Source organism: Homo sapiens, chromosome 10, assembly GCF_000001405.40.
Source record: "Homo sapiens chromosome 10, GRCh38.p14 Primary Assembly".
Classification (NCBI taxonomy): domain Eukaryota; kingdom Metazoa; phylum Chordata; class Mammalia; order Primates; family Hominidae; genus Homo; species Homo sapiens.
Window position 1 is genome coordinate 103090374 of NC_000010.11, and position 14566 is coordinate 103104939.

The 14566-nt window shown below is 38.7% G+C and overlaps 1 protein-coding gene across 53 annotated transcripts in view; it reads right to left on the bottom strand.

The window, feature by feature from the left end:
- NT5C2 (5'-nucleotidase, cytosolic II) overlaps positions 1 to 14566 on the bottom strand; it is a 105256-nt gene that overhangs the window by 2357 nt on the left and 88333 nt on the right. For 31 of the 53 annotated variants that reach the window (XM_047424845.1, XM_047424847.1, XM_024447901.2 and 28 more), the window contains 12 exons: positions 10862 to 10953; positions 10672 to 10729; positions 9553 to 9646; positions 8558 to 8611; positions 6918 to 7001; positions 5566 to 5607; positions 3975 to 4082; positions 3599 to 3665; positions 2766 to 2936; positions 1191 to 1242; positions 563 to 623; positions 238 to 414 (listed from right to left, as the gene is read on the bottom strand). In XM_047424845.1, the coding sequence (XP_047280801.1) occupies positions 238 to 414; positions 563 to 623; positions 1191 to 1242; positions 2766 to 2936; positions 3599 to 3665; positions 3975 to 4082; positions 5566 to 5607; positions 6918 to 7001; positions 8558 to 8611; positions 9553 to 9646; positions 10672 to 10729; positions 10862 to 10953 (1060 nt within the window). Of the gene's footprint in view, positions 1 to 237; positions 415 to 562; positions 624 to 1190; positions 1243 to 2765; positions 2937 to 3598; positions 3666 to 3974; positions 4083 to 5565; positions 5608 to 6917; positions 7002 to 7674; positions 7716 to 8557; positions 8612 to 9552; positions 9647 to 10289; positions 10309 to 10378; positions 10592 to 10671; positions 10730 to 10861; positions 10954 to 14566 lie in introns of those variants that run through there. The other 22 variants (NM_001351180.2, NM_001351188.2, NM_001351184.2 and 19 more) reach the window with 7 other exon arrangements.

The following is a 14566-nucleotide window of genomic DNA, read 5'->3' on the forward strand; positions in this document are numbered from 1 at the left end:
GCCTGGCCCACATACAGCTTTTAATAGAGTAGACTTCAGAGAGTAAAGTTACACTCTTAACTTCCAATGTTGGTTCTACTTTCTCAAAGACCCCTTCTTATGCAACCATATAACCTGCCCCTGGGCTCTGTACATCAGAAAGAAATGTTCAAACTATCTCCTGTGCCATCTCACAAAGGTGGTTGCTGACCCTGGGCTTAGAGTACATCTTGGCTGTCCATTACAGCTTTAACTCACCAAGACATGGGCAGCCCTGAAGAGGTAGCTGAAAGGGTAATACAGCAGGTTGATGAAAGATGCTGCATAGAGGTCAGCATAACGCATCACTTGACTGGCAAAAAGGGTCTGCCGGGAGCCACTGCGAAACAGGCTTCCCATCATCCCATAGCACATGTCCATGTCATGAGTTACTTTCTAAAACAAAGAACAAGATTGATTCTTGGCTCATTCAACAAATATTTATTGAGCAGTAGTTGAATGCTAGTCTCTATAATAAATCAGGAATGTGAAAAAAGCATTTAAACTTATTTCCCAAGTTTTCTCCCAAATCCCATTTGGATACCTTAATACGTCTCTGGATGGAACTGATGTCTGGACGCTCATTGCTACTGCTGTCAAGATGCCTAAAGATAAAAGAAAAACTCAGTGAAAATCTCTGGGAAGAGCTTTTTTTTATTCTTTAAGACAGTCTCATTCTGTCACTCAGGCTGGAGTGCAGGGGTGTGATCGCGGCTCACTGCAACCTCTGCCTCCCAGCTTCAAGCGATTCTCCTGCCTCAGCCACCCTAATTAGCTGGGATTACAGGCATGTGCCACCACACTCAGCTACTTTTTGTATTTCTGGTAGAGATGGGGTTTCGTTTGCCATGTTGGTCAGGCTGGTCTCAAACTTCTGGCCTCAAGCAACCCGCCTGCCTTGGCCTCCCAAAGTGCTGGGATTACAGGCATGAGCCACTGCGCCTGGCCTGGAAAGAACTTTTTTTTTTTTTGAGACGGAGTTTCACTCTTGTCGCCCAGGCTGGAGTGCAATGGTGCAATCTCAGCTCACTGCAACCTCCATTTCCCCGGTTCAAACGATTCTCCTGCCTCAGCCTCCCAAATAGCTGGGATTACTGGCCTGGAAAGAACATTTCTTATATCTAAGTGATTCCTGAGTAAGTTTTTGGGAAAGAAATTTTTAGAAAACTTACTTGTAGAGTTCAGCCAAGAAAATATCCAAGCTCTGAAGTTCTTCGAAAAGTGCTAGTTAAGGTTTGGAAGGAAAAGGAAGACATTTTAAATAAATAAGCACCTAGTTCTTAACTGCTGCTAAACTAAAAGGTTGCAGATGTGACTGGAAAGTAGAACCTGGGACTAACATGCTGAGTGTACAGTTACCTCCTCTTCCCCTCTTCAGGATAACTCACTGATACCTGCTTGGAGTCTGACAACAGATGAACACCATCACCTTCTCTTTAACTGCCTTTCCTCCTGCTTAAACACCATGATGACAACTTTCCCTTCCAGCTGCACGCTCATTCTGAGCTTGTAAAGTACCAGAATTTACATGCTGTCTCAGGTGCAGTCAGCTAAGCAAATGTTAACAGTCCCATTTTCAGATGAAAGATTGAGAATCAGGTGACTTTTCCTGAGTCACAGGTCCAGGGCCAAATCAACTAGATTTCTAAAACTTCATAGGTAGAAAGTTGAAAATGTGAATGAAAGGCTAGCCAGAAAATCCCACTGATAGTACAGACAGTAACAGCAACAGCCAGCATCTACAGCATGCTGCCGGTGTGTTGCAGCCTTTGTCAGTCTGGGTTCCTCAAGACAAGCCCTCCTTCATCTACTGTATGTAACACATTTTCTTCTATCTACCATCTTTAGGAGAATTGAGAAAAGTGTTACTCAAATAATTTTCTGTATTCAGCTCCATTGGAAAGGTAAAATAATAGTAATAATTTTCTGTGTTTCGGATATGGAGCCTTGGTTGAGAAAGGCTGTCATGTCTATCTTTATACACATATTACCTCCGTTTTTCATCAGCTTTAGGAGGTAGGTATTATCCCCATTTTTACATTTGAGGAAACTAAGGCACAGGGTATCTCATTAACTTGCCTAACGGCATGCAGATTTCAAGTTATGGAGCCAGGGCTCCTACCCCAGGCAGGCTGAGTTTCCGGAGTCACCTTCACCACACTGCAGGTAATGCGCATCAAGGCTGGCTGGAGAACTTGTATATCAAGCACTTTTACAGAACTATATCCGTAACTCAGTTCAGCACAGTGTGTATACTGCATATACACAGCATAGCTTAGTTCAAGAATACAATATGGCCTCATTCTCTAGATCTCAGAAGAGTAAATAAAAAATACCAGAGGTGATTAACATTCAGAGCCATCACTGCCCCAGAATCACAGATATGGGCTGTTAGCAGAGAGACTGGGACTGCTAGGCATGGTTGGGGAAATATGGGACCACAGAGGAAAAGTTGAGCTCCAGTTCACAACTTAGTGTTACTGTAACACAACTCAAGACGCCAACATTCTAAACTTAACCTCGAAGAGATTCAAGAAGGTTAAACAAGATAACCTCTCATATTTATTCAAATTCTGGAGTTCTGTGAAATATCTGAATATTCTATGGGAAGGAAGTATCCAAATATCAAGGCCTGCCTTTTGACCACCTCTGACTTCCTGAATACAAAGTAATGGTTTATCAAAGACGACTGATTCAAAGCTGGTCATTTAGATATAAATTACACCAAAGATTTATGAATGGCTTACAACTCTTGTCAGTCCAGACATGTAGCTCCTGTGCGAGTTCAGGAATCACCAAAAAAGTTCGCCACCCTTGCCGTTTCTTTGATTTTAAAATGTCCCCAAAAATGTGATCTCCAATATACAAAATGTCTTTTCCCTTGGCTCCCAACAGGTCACAGATCGTATCAGAAGAACCTGAACCAACAGAGTGAACAATGAGAAAACTGTCCCTATATTAAAATCAGCATTCCAATAGTATTTAACCATTAAATACTATGATTCATTTTATTCTTATATGAGGAACAGACTAGGAAGAATAGACAAAGACTCACCATTCTCTTTTTACTGCCTTCTAAGACAAGGCCTTCAGCTCCACTGTGCTGACCAGAGCTCTTGCTCACCAAATCCAAGAGCAACAAAACTACATCCTCAGCTTAGTGAAAATAACCTTCAAAACAGCCACTGCCAATTTCATCACAAATCTGCCATTAAGCTGGCTTTACTCAACTGTTTATAACTCCAACATACTATGTACCTATACCCATGGAACTCCTTGAGAAACCCTTGAGAACATATTGAGAAGTACCCCCAAGTGATTCGAAGCACTGAGAAAAAGCCTCCAATAGGATTTAAAAAAAAAACTGATCATTTTAGTGAAAATCAGATTCATTAGGATATACTAACAACTGCTCAAACCCAGACTCCTATTGCATTAAGAGGTGACTAAACTATTTACCTTCAGTAGATGACATCTTAGACTACTAAACAGTATATGTGGCACTTTGCTGAGAGATTACCAAAGCTTTCACTGTGAGGTCTGAGCAAAGACATTAAATAAAGGGAAGTCTGTGACTTACCTCCTGAGTAGACGATACCATGCTGTAGGGGCCCTGTGTAGGTACCAATTTTCAGCTTGCCAGTTTTCTGTATGAAGAATATGGATTTTGTAATACTTTATCATCCTATCACAATCCTCCCCTCACCCCACAACCCTCCCATCCCACCCCCCACCACCAGTGCTACTTGGCCAGACAGCCAAATGAATGGCACTTACTCTTTTCAATTAGTGGGTTTGTTTGACTGTTTCAGTTAAGACCAAAACTCTTAATTTCAAAAGAGAGATACGGCTAATTAAAAAAAAAAAATTCCTGTTTCCTTATGTAGAGTAAGAGTGGGGGAAGGAGAAACATTAAGGACAATGTGCTAGCAAGACAGATCATTCTCATGACTTACAGTATCCACCTGACGCAGTACTGTGCCTTCTCCAAAAAAGAGTGGTTTCCGTGCATCCACCAAGATCAAGTCAAAGTAGGACTGCCATGGTCGATGGGAGCTCCCAGGCTGGTGAAGGAGAAACAGCAAAAGTTGAAACATCACTCCTTACCTTAAGGCATTACTATTTAATCTCACTCAGATGCAAGGAATATAAAAATACTAAGTATAGCCAGAAGATCCCACTATTTTATTTTTTAAAAAGGTATTGTGTCAGCCAGGCACAGTGGCTCACACCTGTAATCCCAGTACTTTGGGAGGCCGAGGCGGGCAGATCACAAGGTCCGGAAATCAAGACCATCCTGGCCAACATGGTGAAAACCTGTCTCTACTAAAACTACAAAAATTAGCCGGGCGTGGTGGCGGGCGCCTGTAGTCCCAGCTACTTGGGAGGCTGAGGCTCGAGAATCGCTTGAACCTAGGAGGGGGAGGTTGCAGTGAGCCGAGATCGTGCCACTGCACTCCAGCTTGGCAACAGAGCAAGACTCCATCTCAAAAAAAAAAAAAAAATTGTGTCTATGTATTATAAGCCATATCCTTTGGGAAGCAGACAAGATATAAATAATAAATAACTGTAATAACACATTCTATACATTAAATCATTTCATCTACTACTAAATTACAATACTTATTTTACAGCACTTTATGAAAGTGTGCTCACCTGAAATTTGCTAAAAGGAGCTCAAAAGAGCTAGGGAGAGATGCAAATCAATACCCAAGGGACAGATTAAGACAGAGGCAGGCATCAGAGCTAAAGTATACAAACTAACATGGAACTATTAGGAAATTTTACTGGTTACATTCTCAGAATGATGGCTCTAGGTACACACTGGCTTTTGGCTCACAGTGTAAGCTAATCACAATACTGAGTTATGCCCATTAAAATCATGACTATCCTGAAATGGAACCCTGGCATTAACCTTTTAAGACCAACCTGAAGGGCACTGCACACTGTGATTTCAGGTGTTCTCAAAACAGGGATTTGCTGATGTTTATTCACTAAAGTCTAGGACTAAAATTCTGTAAGTATGTGACTAAGTTGCAAGGAGTATTCCTTAAACCTAAGTGCAGCCGTACTGCAGAAATGAAGACTTCTCTGCTAAATATCAAGGCTGAGTGCTCTCTTGGCAAAAACTTAGCAACAACTAATACAAAATCTAGAAGTTGTCAAGAATACACATACATTTTCTGTTTCTGTTAATCAAATATCATCCACAACCTGAAAATTCCTTTCATTGCCACACAAACTTAATTTTGCATAGAACTTCTTGGGCATAAAATTATTCTGATCCCATCCTACTAAATATCACATGAATATCCCTTTTATTTCTGTCTATTAAGTATTCAAGTTGCGGACTCTAAATTAGCAATTTGATTTTAAATTCTACTAGCTCCTGGATTACTTCTAATGTTAATGAAGATTAGACAATAGGCTTAAAAAGTAGGACTTTTCTGGGTGGGTTCTGACCAATTCTTTCCCCCTTAATATTCCAGAATGATTAAATGCATTCATTGTTATTAAAGCAGTGGTCTATTGAGTCACATACGGTACCTTGGGGCCATGTGGGAAGTCAAACAGGTAAGTCATAATTTTCTGGAAAAAAAAATTTAACATAAGGTCCATATACTACTTTTGCAAAAGGTATATAACCTAAAGAAATTACAAGCTTTTCACAAAACATGTCTTTTTCAACATAGGACTCACCACATTCTTGTTTCCTCTAAATTTTATGAAATCATGGCAGTGGAAGCCAGAAATTAATGCTTTACCATATACCAAAAAGAAAAAAAGGCTTCTGACATTCTCAGGGAGGATACATACTTCCTCTGGAAGATGTTTTTGAACACACATTTGGAGGAAAGGAGCATATGAGGTAGGGGTATAGAGAAAACTAATGACTCACACAGAAATAACCTATCACCTTGGCTTCGCTACTGCCATCCCTAGACCAACTAAGTCAACAAACCAACGGTTTATGTAAGACTGTTTACTACAAATCACCAGGTGTCTAAATCAAGTTTACATGTACAGCGAATTGGGGGAAGTGGAACTTCTTGCCAGTACTATAAATTTTTAAGTGTCTCAGCAAAAGTAAGATGAAGTTAAGGAGTTAGATCAGTTTTTCCACATGCTTTAATCATGGGAAAAAACTGTTTTTAAGAGGTAGTAAATTTTGGGCTGGGCACAGTGACTCACGCCTGTAATCCCAGCACTTTGGGAGGCCAAGGTGGGTGGATCACGAGGTCAGGAGTTCAAGACCAGCCTGTCCAAGATGTTAAAACCTCGTCTCTACTAAAAATACAAAAAAATTAGCCAGGCGCAGTGGCAGGTGCCTGTAATCCCAGCTACTTGGGAGGCTGAGGCAGGAGAATTGCTTGAACCCAGGCGGCAGAGGTTGCAGTGAGCCGAGATCGCACCACTGCACCCCAGCCTGGGCGACAGAGTGAGACTCTGTCTCAAAAAAAAAAAAAAAAAAAAAAAAAAGATATATAAATTTTGACAGCTAAGAGCCAAAACATCTGTGCAGCATCTATTGCTGCAGGTCTTCCAACAGCAGGGAAAGTCATACATACACATCAATAAGGGGTGTGACTGCTCAAGTTTATAGAAATGATGCTCCAAAGAGACACAAAAGCCATTTTAATCTTTACAAATGTTTTAAATAACCCCAAGATTAAAATTTTCAAGTAGCCAATTATAATCAGTGAAAATGGTTAAAATAAATTTCTAGAAAAATTTGAGAACCACTGTTATCCTGTATATTTTTGCCTTTTTACTCTTTGAAAATGAGAAGGCAAGAAACTATTTTCACTTAATAAACTTCTATCTTCCTCATTGTCTTCACAGTTCTTTAGGCCAAAATAATTCCACTGCATAAATAAATATACACATGAAGCACTTACATCTGTATATTTATAGTCACTGTTGGTAGCAAGAAATACTTTCCCTACTTCCTTCATCCGGCTCAGAAGCAAAGGCAGTTTTCCCTGAAATGTAATTGGATAATGAGTGAAACACGAAAACATTTTTATCTTTACACTTTGGAGTTGTCAAATACTGGATTTCTGTCCACAACAGGAATGGGGGAACCTTTTAAGGGTTAGCTGATTTCAGAATTTTGCACTTAAAAGCCCACATTATCACTATAAATGAATAAAGTATTAACATATGTAGTATACACAGTGTATGTAATAGATTTACATGTAAAATTATACACATATTTATAGGGGTTATATGGCTGTTAACAACATATCTCTACCTTCCTCATGATGTCTGCCTCAGGAAAGAGTTTAAATTACCTTGAGATTTCTTGAAGTATGTGAGGTGTGTTAAAGGTCAGCAGAAGCTGATTTAAACATGCTCTACATAGAGATTATTAGATATGGCTTTCAGTGTGTACACTATGGTTTTATAAAACACCTTGCAGAATGAAATGACATGTGCAGATGCTACCTAGAAATACCCACACCCACGTGCGCTTAAATGAGGAAATTCTAACCCCTCATGTGCCTGGAAAGAAAAATATCTTTTCCTTCTCGCATAGCAAATAGATTCCTTCACTCAAATTCTCCCGGACCCTCCCCATTCAGTGTTCTTTCTTGAAATAAGGGAGGTGGGTGAAAATAGGAAGCACAAAAACTGAAAACAAGAAATCTTTACCACAGTACTTTGAGAAAATACTGTATTCTGCTACTTTTACTCTGTAGGAAAAGAAAGAAGTATGTCATCTTGGGGCACTATGTGTGTTTAATTTTTATTCTAAAACAGTTCTAGACTTATAGAAAAGCTGTGAAAATAAAGAGTTCCCATATATTCTTCCTCCAGTTTCCCTTAATATTAACATCTTATATAACCACAGTATAATTATGAAAAGTATGAAATTAACATTGGTACAATACTATTAACCACAGATTTTTTAAAAAATTTTATCAGGTTTGCCACTAATGCCTTTTAAGGTACTTTAAAGCTTTCCTCATTACTCTCTGTTGACAGGTTAAAGGCATTTTAAATAACAGTAACATATATGCACATTTTTGAGATGATCTAGTGCAGTAGTTATGATTTGGGTGTGACTTAGCTTTACTACTTACTAACTGTGTGACCTCTGGCAAGTTATTTAATCCCTCTATTTCTCAGGTTTTTTATCTATAAAACAGAGGCAACAATAATACCTAACTCAAGGTCATACAGAAGATTAAATGGCATAATGCATGTAATCACTTAGCATGGTGATGATGTGCATACAGTAAACCTCTAACTGCTATTATAATTGAAGCTAAGCGAACAAATGCAATACTGAGTCTTCTTGCCTATCAAGAAACAGGAAAAATGAAATACTGAGTCTTCTTGCCTATCAAGAAACAGGAAAAACTCTACTAAGACCTATGCTCTAGCTGAATATTCTTGGTGATTATACCCGACACATACTATGCCAAGACAAATCTCTTCTTTTGTCCATTTCATTATAAATCAGCTTGTTATTAATTTCCCTAATAGGTAAAATGAGCTATTATGCAGATCTATTTTCCCCTATATTACTTACATCTTTGACTACATACTTCTCAAGATTTTCAACTGTCTTTTCCTTAAGGGAGCCCTGGAGGAAGACAAAAAAAAGAATTAAGAAAAGAACAAAATCAGTTTTTAACATGTAGTTTATAAGAAAAATGGTTTTTACTAATCAACCCAAATCCTTTCTTTTTTTGAGACAAGGTCACCCTGTTGCCCATGCTAGAGTGCAGTGGTACAATCTCAGCTCACTGCAGCCTCGACCTCCCCAGGCTCAGGTGATCCTCCCACTTCAGCCTCCCAAGTAGCTAGGACCACAGGTCCACACCAACATGCCTGGCTAATTTTCTGTATTTCTTGTACAGACAGGGTTTTGTCATGTTGCCCAGGCTAGTCTTGAACTCCTGAGCTCAAGCAATCCACCTGCCTTGGCATCACAAAGTGCTGGGATTACAGGCATGAGCCATCATGCCCAGCCCCAAATGCATTTCTTAAGGATTTACCAAAATGGAAAAGTGGACAAACTAGAGAAGGCCAGAAAAAAGTAGCAGGTATGATTTGCTGCAACCCTGCCTCTAAAATTTGTCTTCAAAATATAAAACAGTTTCTATTTTAAGTTTGAAATTAAAAGGCATTTCATATTTTATTCAATAGTTTATAATACATGTAAATTTAATATTTATTAATGTTATTAGTCGGGTGGGAGGTATCTGGACAAAAAAAATGGACCACTGTCATCCACAAAGGATATGTTAAGTATAATGTAATACACTAAAACCTCTTCTAAGTTTGAGAAATGCAAACTAAAATAAAATCCAGAAGCCAAACACCATCACTGAGGAAAGATCAACATTACCACCGAGACCAAAGACAAGAACAAATGTATTCTAGAGGGCTATCACTAGGCGGGGGCAAATCTGTTTTTTCTTTTTTTAAAAAAAGAAATATTCTGCTCCATTTGGAAAGTTAATGCCACGCCATAAAATACATGCCAGAAAGCAAGCAGGTGAAGAAACAGCTTCTAGGTACCTTGTAATGAACCCAGTCAACAGCATCTCTTACATCCTGGAACATACTCCGGTAGGACATGAAGAGGTCCCCATCTTTAAATCCTGTTTCACAACTACAGAAAGATAAAAATAACATGACAGGGGATCCAAAACAGGGTAAACAAAATATATATCAAAAATTTCCCAGGGGACCCAAAGGTTCCATATCACATGGGTAAAGGCTGTGGCTAATGAGGAAAATAATTACTCCCTAATGAAAGTCCACTTTGACCACCAGAAATGGCTATAGTGTTCAATGGAATACAGTAATTGTGAACAAATACAAAGTGATAGAAGAATATATTGAATGGAAGCTAAAAGGCCAAAGTTCCAAAAATGTCAGGTTTTTTTATTTATCACTTTTTAGAAACAGGTTGAAGAAACATTTAAAACTTAAAATTGGTCATTTAGGTTCTTTCCACCCTGACTTTCCTGACACTGTCCCTAAGTACAAAGGTACTGTCCATTTTTTTATTTAGTTCAGTGACTCAGCTTTCCACCAAATTTAGTGTCTTCAAGTGGATAAAGCCCAAAGAGGATAAGAAGTTAGCCAACTCTGGTATATAGATGGCTAAACTTTCAGTATTGGCTATATAATTCTCCCTAAAGGGAGAGGATAACTTGTTTAAGACTTACGCAAAATTTTACTTCTGATAAGATACACAGTATTTATTCCTTAATCAAATCTTGCCTGGCCTGGGAATGAAATTAAATTACCATCCCTGAATGGCTCCTGGGTAGCTGCTGTGAAATGAGTTGGGGGGTTTTAGTGTAATTCTGCTTGGACAGATAATCATCACACAAACCTCCCACTCAGTTGTCACAATTAGCACCTCTGCTGGCCGTCTTCATTCCCAGGAGAAGCCAATCAGAAGTGGTGGCTGCAGCACACTGGCAAGGAGAGGGGCCGTGTGGGAGGTGAGAGCCTGCATGGAGCTGCTGGTGCTGTCCCATCTCTCAGGTTGGCAATGTGGCATCTCTCACTAGCACTAAATTCACTTTAGAAAAGCAGAAAAGACCTACAATGGCCAGTTCTCTAAAACCCTGTGCATTAATTTTAAAAATCAATTGGAAAAAAATAATTATAGTATATACATACCTGGTATATCTGGGACAATTAGTAAAAAAATCTACTAGGCAGGCCAACAGGTAGGTCTCTGAAAAATGAAGAACAGATATTCATAAGCTATAATGAAATAATTCAAACTTATTTCATTACCTCCCTTGAATACAGACTAATGGTCACAGAAGGGAAAGCATCAGTATAAATAAGCATAGAATGAATCTACCTGGTAGGTTGAATAGTGTGTTCAGAATGTAAAATCTTTCAGTATCATCTCGCTGGATAAATTTATTTGGATACTGTTCTCTAGTTTCTGGTCTGAAAGAAAAATTTAAAAATTAACTGATTTTTAAAATAACATTATAATAATTGGGAAATAGCATTATTCAAAAATTAACTCAAATATTTTGATGGCTATGTGCAAGACAGAATTCCGAATATTACGCATGGATAGCTATGAAGATGAACGAGTTCAGGTTCCAGCTCTTTATTTTTTTTAATTTTAATTTTTTTTTTTTTTTAAGACAGTCTTGCTATTTTAAGTCCAGGCTGGACTCAAACTCCTGAAGATTGCTCAAGCAATCTTCCCACCTCAGCCTCCCAAGTAGCTGGGATTACAGGTGTGATGTCCAGCTTAGGTTCCAGCTCTTAAAAGAGTTGTCAGTGTGGTGGGCGAGGTGGGTCACATACACATATAATTATAAGGTAAAAAATCACAACTACTACAAGAAAGGTGCAAACATTTATGAGAAAACCAAAGAAGGGAACACCATTTCAACTTAAGAGGTAGAGAGAAGCAAATGTGAGGACTAAGGAGAGGAAAATCTAGGAAGGATTCATGCACGTGCTGGTATATGAGCTGGGCCTTAAAGGCTAGGTGGACCAGTTGTGAAACTAGTCCAACTTGGGTAGAGAAAGGGGAGCAGAGAAAAATTAAGCTAGAAAGATGGGTTGAGGCAGATTAAGCTACTGTTTCTACACCATTTAGGGGCAAGAGGGTACTACTGACAGTTTTAAAGCAGAGGATAATCCCATCGGGGCTGAGTTGTAAAACAAAATTAAATTAGTGGCTGTTTTAGGATAAACTGGGGAAAGACAATGTGATGCACTCCAACAATGGCCACAAATTCTTCCTGTCTCTTTGTGATGCAATTTTGTGGCTCCTCCCATTAGAACTCAGTCTATTTCTCTATCCTTGAATATAGGCTTGTATAGCAGCAAATGGGATCCAAGCAGAGACCTAGAAAAACATGTGTGTATTGAGGCTTAATCTCTCTTGCAGCACTTGGAACCATGGACTACTATGTGCATGACAGTGAGATAGTCTGCTGGAGGATAGAAGGCTACATGTAGAAATGAAGCACTCGGCCAACAGCCTGTGAATGCCAGACATGTGCATGAGGCCATTGTAGATCAGATGCCAGGTCACCCACCAGCTAACCACAGACATGTGAAAGAGCATAGAGAGATCAGCTGTGCAACCCAGAATCACCCAGTTGACTCTCAGAATTTTTTCTTTTTTCTTTTTTTTTTTTTGAGACAGAGTCTCACTCTGTCGGCCAGGCTGGAGTGCAGTGGCGTGATCTCAGCTCACTCATATATTCAAGAGAGATTACCAAGGTAAAATAAGACCCGGCAAACTGAGCAGATTTGGCTGGGGGAACATTAAAGAGTCAAAGATGATGATGTCCATGCTAAGGTGTCTCTGAGAGGTGGTTGGTACGATGAACAGAAATATGAAAACTAGATAAGAAGTGATGTGAGAGTAGTTCTATTTTAGTGATACTAAGTTTGAAGTAAACTGATTTTTATTAGGCAATTAGAAACAAAGGTCAAGAACTTAAAAGAGATTCAGCCTTGAGAGATAACTGAGATCATCTACGTACAGATACTAGATGGAATCATGAAAAGTATTAGAGGAGATGAAACCACTTAGTGTGCAGAGAAGGAAGAGAAGAGACAGAACAGAACCATGAAGAAAATTCAAGGTTTAAAAGAAAAAAGCCAGTGAAGCAGAATTTGTTAAAGATGCAAAAACACTTCTAGAAGAAAACATTTCAGAGAAACTCAAAGGGAAAAATACTAAAATATAAAAATGCACAGTTCTGACAGTGAATACATGGAGATTAACAATGTAAATAAAGGAAATCAAATTTAAAGCTCACACTCAGAGTGACCTGGATTAATTCCTGCCTGGGTTTGTTAACTACAAATGGCATAAACTCTAGTTAGACATATAAAAATCACATTAGCTCCCTGTCTTAAGTCACTCTTCTGAGATGAGAGTTCCCAATAATGAATAACTTTGTAGAGTATCTTATCTTCTAGCTTTCCAAGATTTTCTTTAATAAAAGTAAGGTGGAAGGTAACAGTAAAAATATACTTTCTTCAGTTAGATTTAATAAGCTGACACTGTCTCCTTAGATACAATATACTTCCCTATTCCCTCCATCATTAAAGAAAAATTCCTTTACATAAAGATGGTTAACATTTATTAGGCAGTTAGAACCCAAATTGATTTATAAATATAGTTAGCAATTACATTGTAAACTTCAGTGTCAAATCACACTAGTATATATTTAAAATAAAAATCAATTTGGGGGAGGTAATATATCATAAAAGAAATGCTACACTTGGAATGGGAAGAAAACAGTTACAGCACAGATTACTACTAACTTTCTGTGACCCACAGAATAAAAATTTATCAAAAAATAAGGTCCTAACTCATTAGCAAAGCCTGATGGAGTCCTTCTTTTCCAGCCTTGTCTACCACTGTAATAGCTTCGATAACTTTCTTTCCCTCTATCTTCAGTCTCTTCTTTTCATGGGAATTTTAATTTTATTAATTTATTTTTATTTTTTTGAGATAGGGTCTTGCTCTGTTACACAGGCTGTACTACAGTGGCACCAACACAGCTCACTGCAGCCTCAACCTCCTGGGCTCAAGCACTCCTCCTGCCTCAGTCTCCCATATAGCTGGGACCAAAGGCATGTACCACCATGCCCAGCTAATTTTTGATATTTGTAGAGATAGGGTTTCACTTTATTGTCCAGGCTGGTCTCCTAGGCTCAAGAAGTCTTCTTGCCTTGTCCTCCCAAAGTGCTGAGATTATAGGCGTAAGCCACTGTGCCTGGCCAGCTTTTCTGTTTAACTCTAAAGACTGCACAGTGCTAAGTGCTATTTGAATGATTCTGCATTTACTCATAAATGACTTATTTTTGAAACACTATTAAATGCATTAGCAAAGGAGCTATGTGGAAACTTTATTGGCTTATTTAAGGGAAGAGAGGAAGTCTGTGGATCTTGAGTTGGAAATTTGATCGTAGTACTAACTTATCCAACTGCTTCTCTTTTCTTCTCTGCCTACCCCTCCCTTATAATACAAAAATTCCTTTTTAGACATAATAGAACCCTGGTTCATCTTCATTGAGATTCTGAGTTATGATGACAATATCTGTGTATAAAATAGCTTAAGTTACTAGTACAACCTGTAATTACTTCATATTCTAAATCCTGTTTCCTGATATTTTCATGGATCCTGAACAAACCCCCTCATGAAAGAAACAGTGAAAGAAATGTGGATGTAATCACTGGCCTGCTCAGATGTGTCAAGATGGGTGTTTACTTCACACCGTTCTCATGTATACATGGAAATCTCTGAGCCTGTGTAATGTCAGTAATGCCAACTAAAGAGTCTTAGATGCTTCAATTCTAAGGGGCATCCTGTGACCTCAAATCTAAAGGAAGCTCTGGTACAATTACAGTTGGTTTGTGCCTCTTATCACAAAAAAAGACATTGTCTTTTTAAACATTTCAATGTAGCCTGGTGTTTTTCCTATTCTGCCATCAAGAATGAATAGTAAATGGAAAAGTTACATAAGAGACTGACACACATCCTATTCTGGTTTTACGAGCTGTTGTTCTGACCTT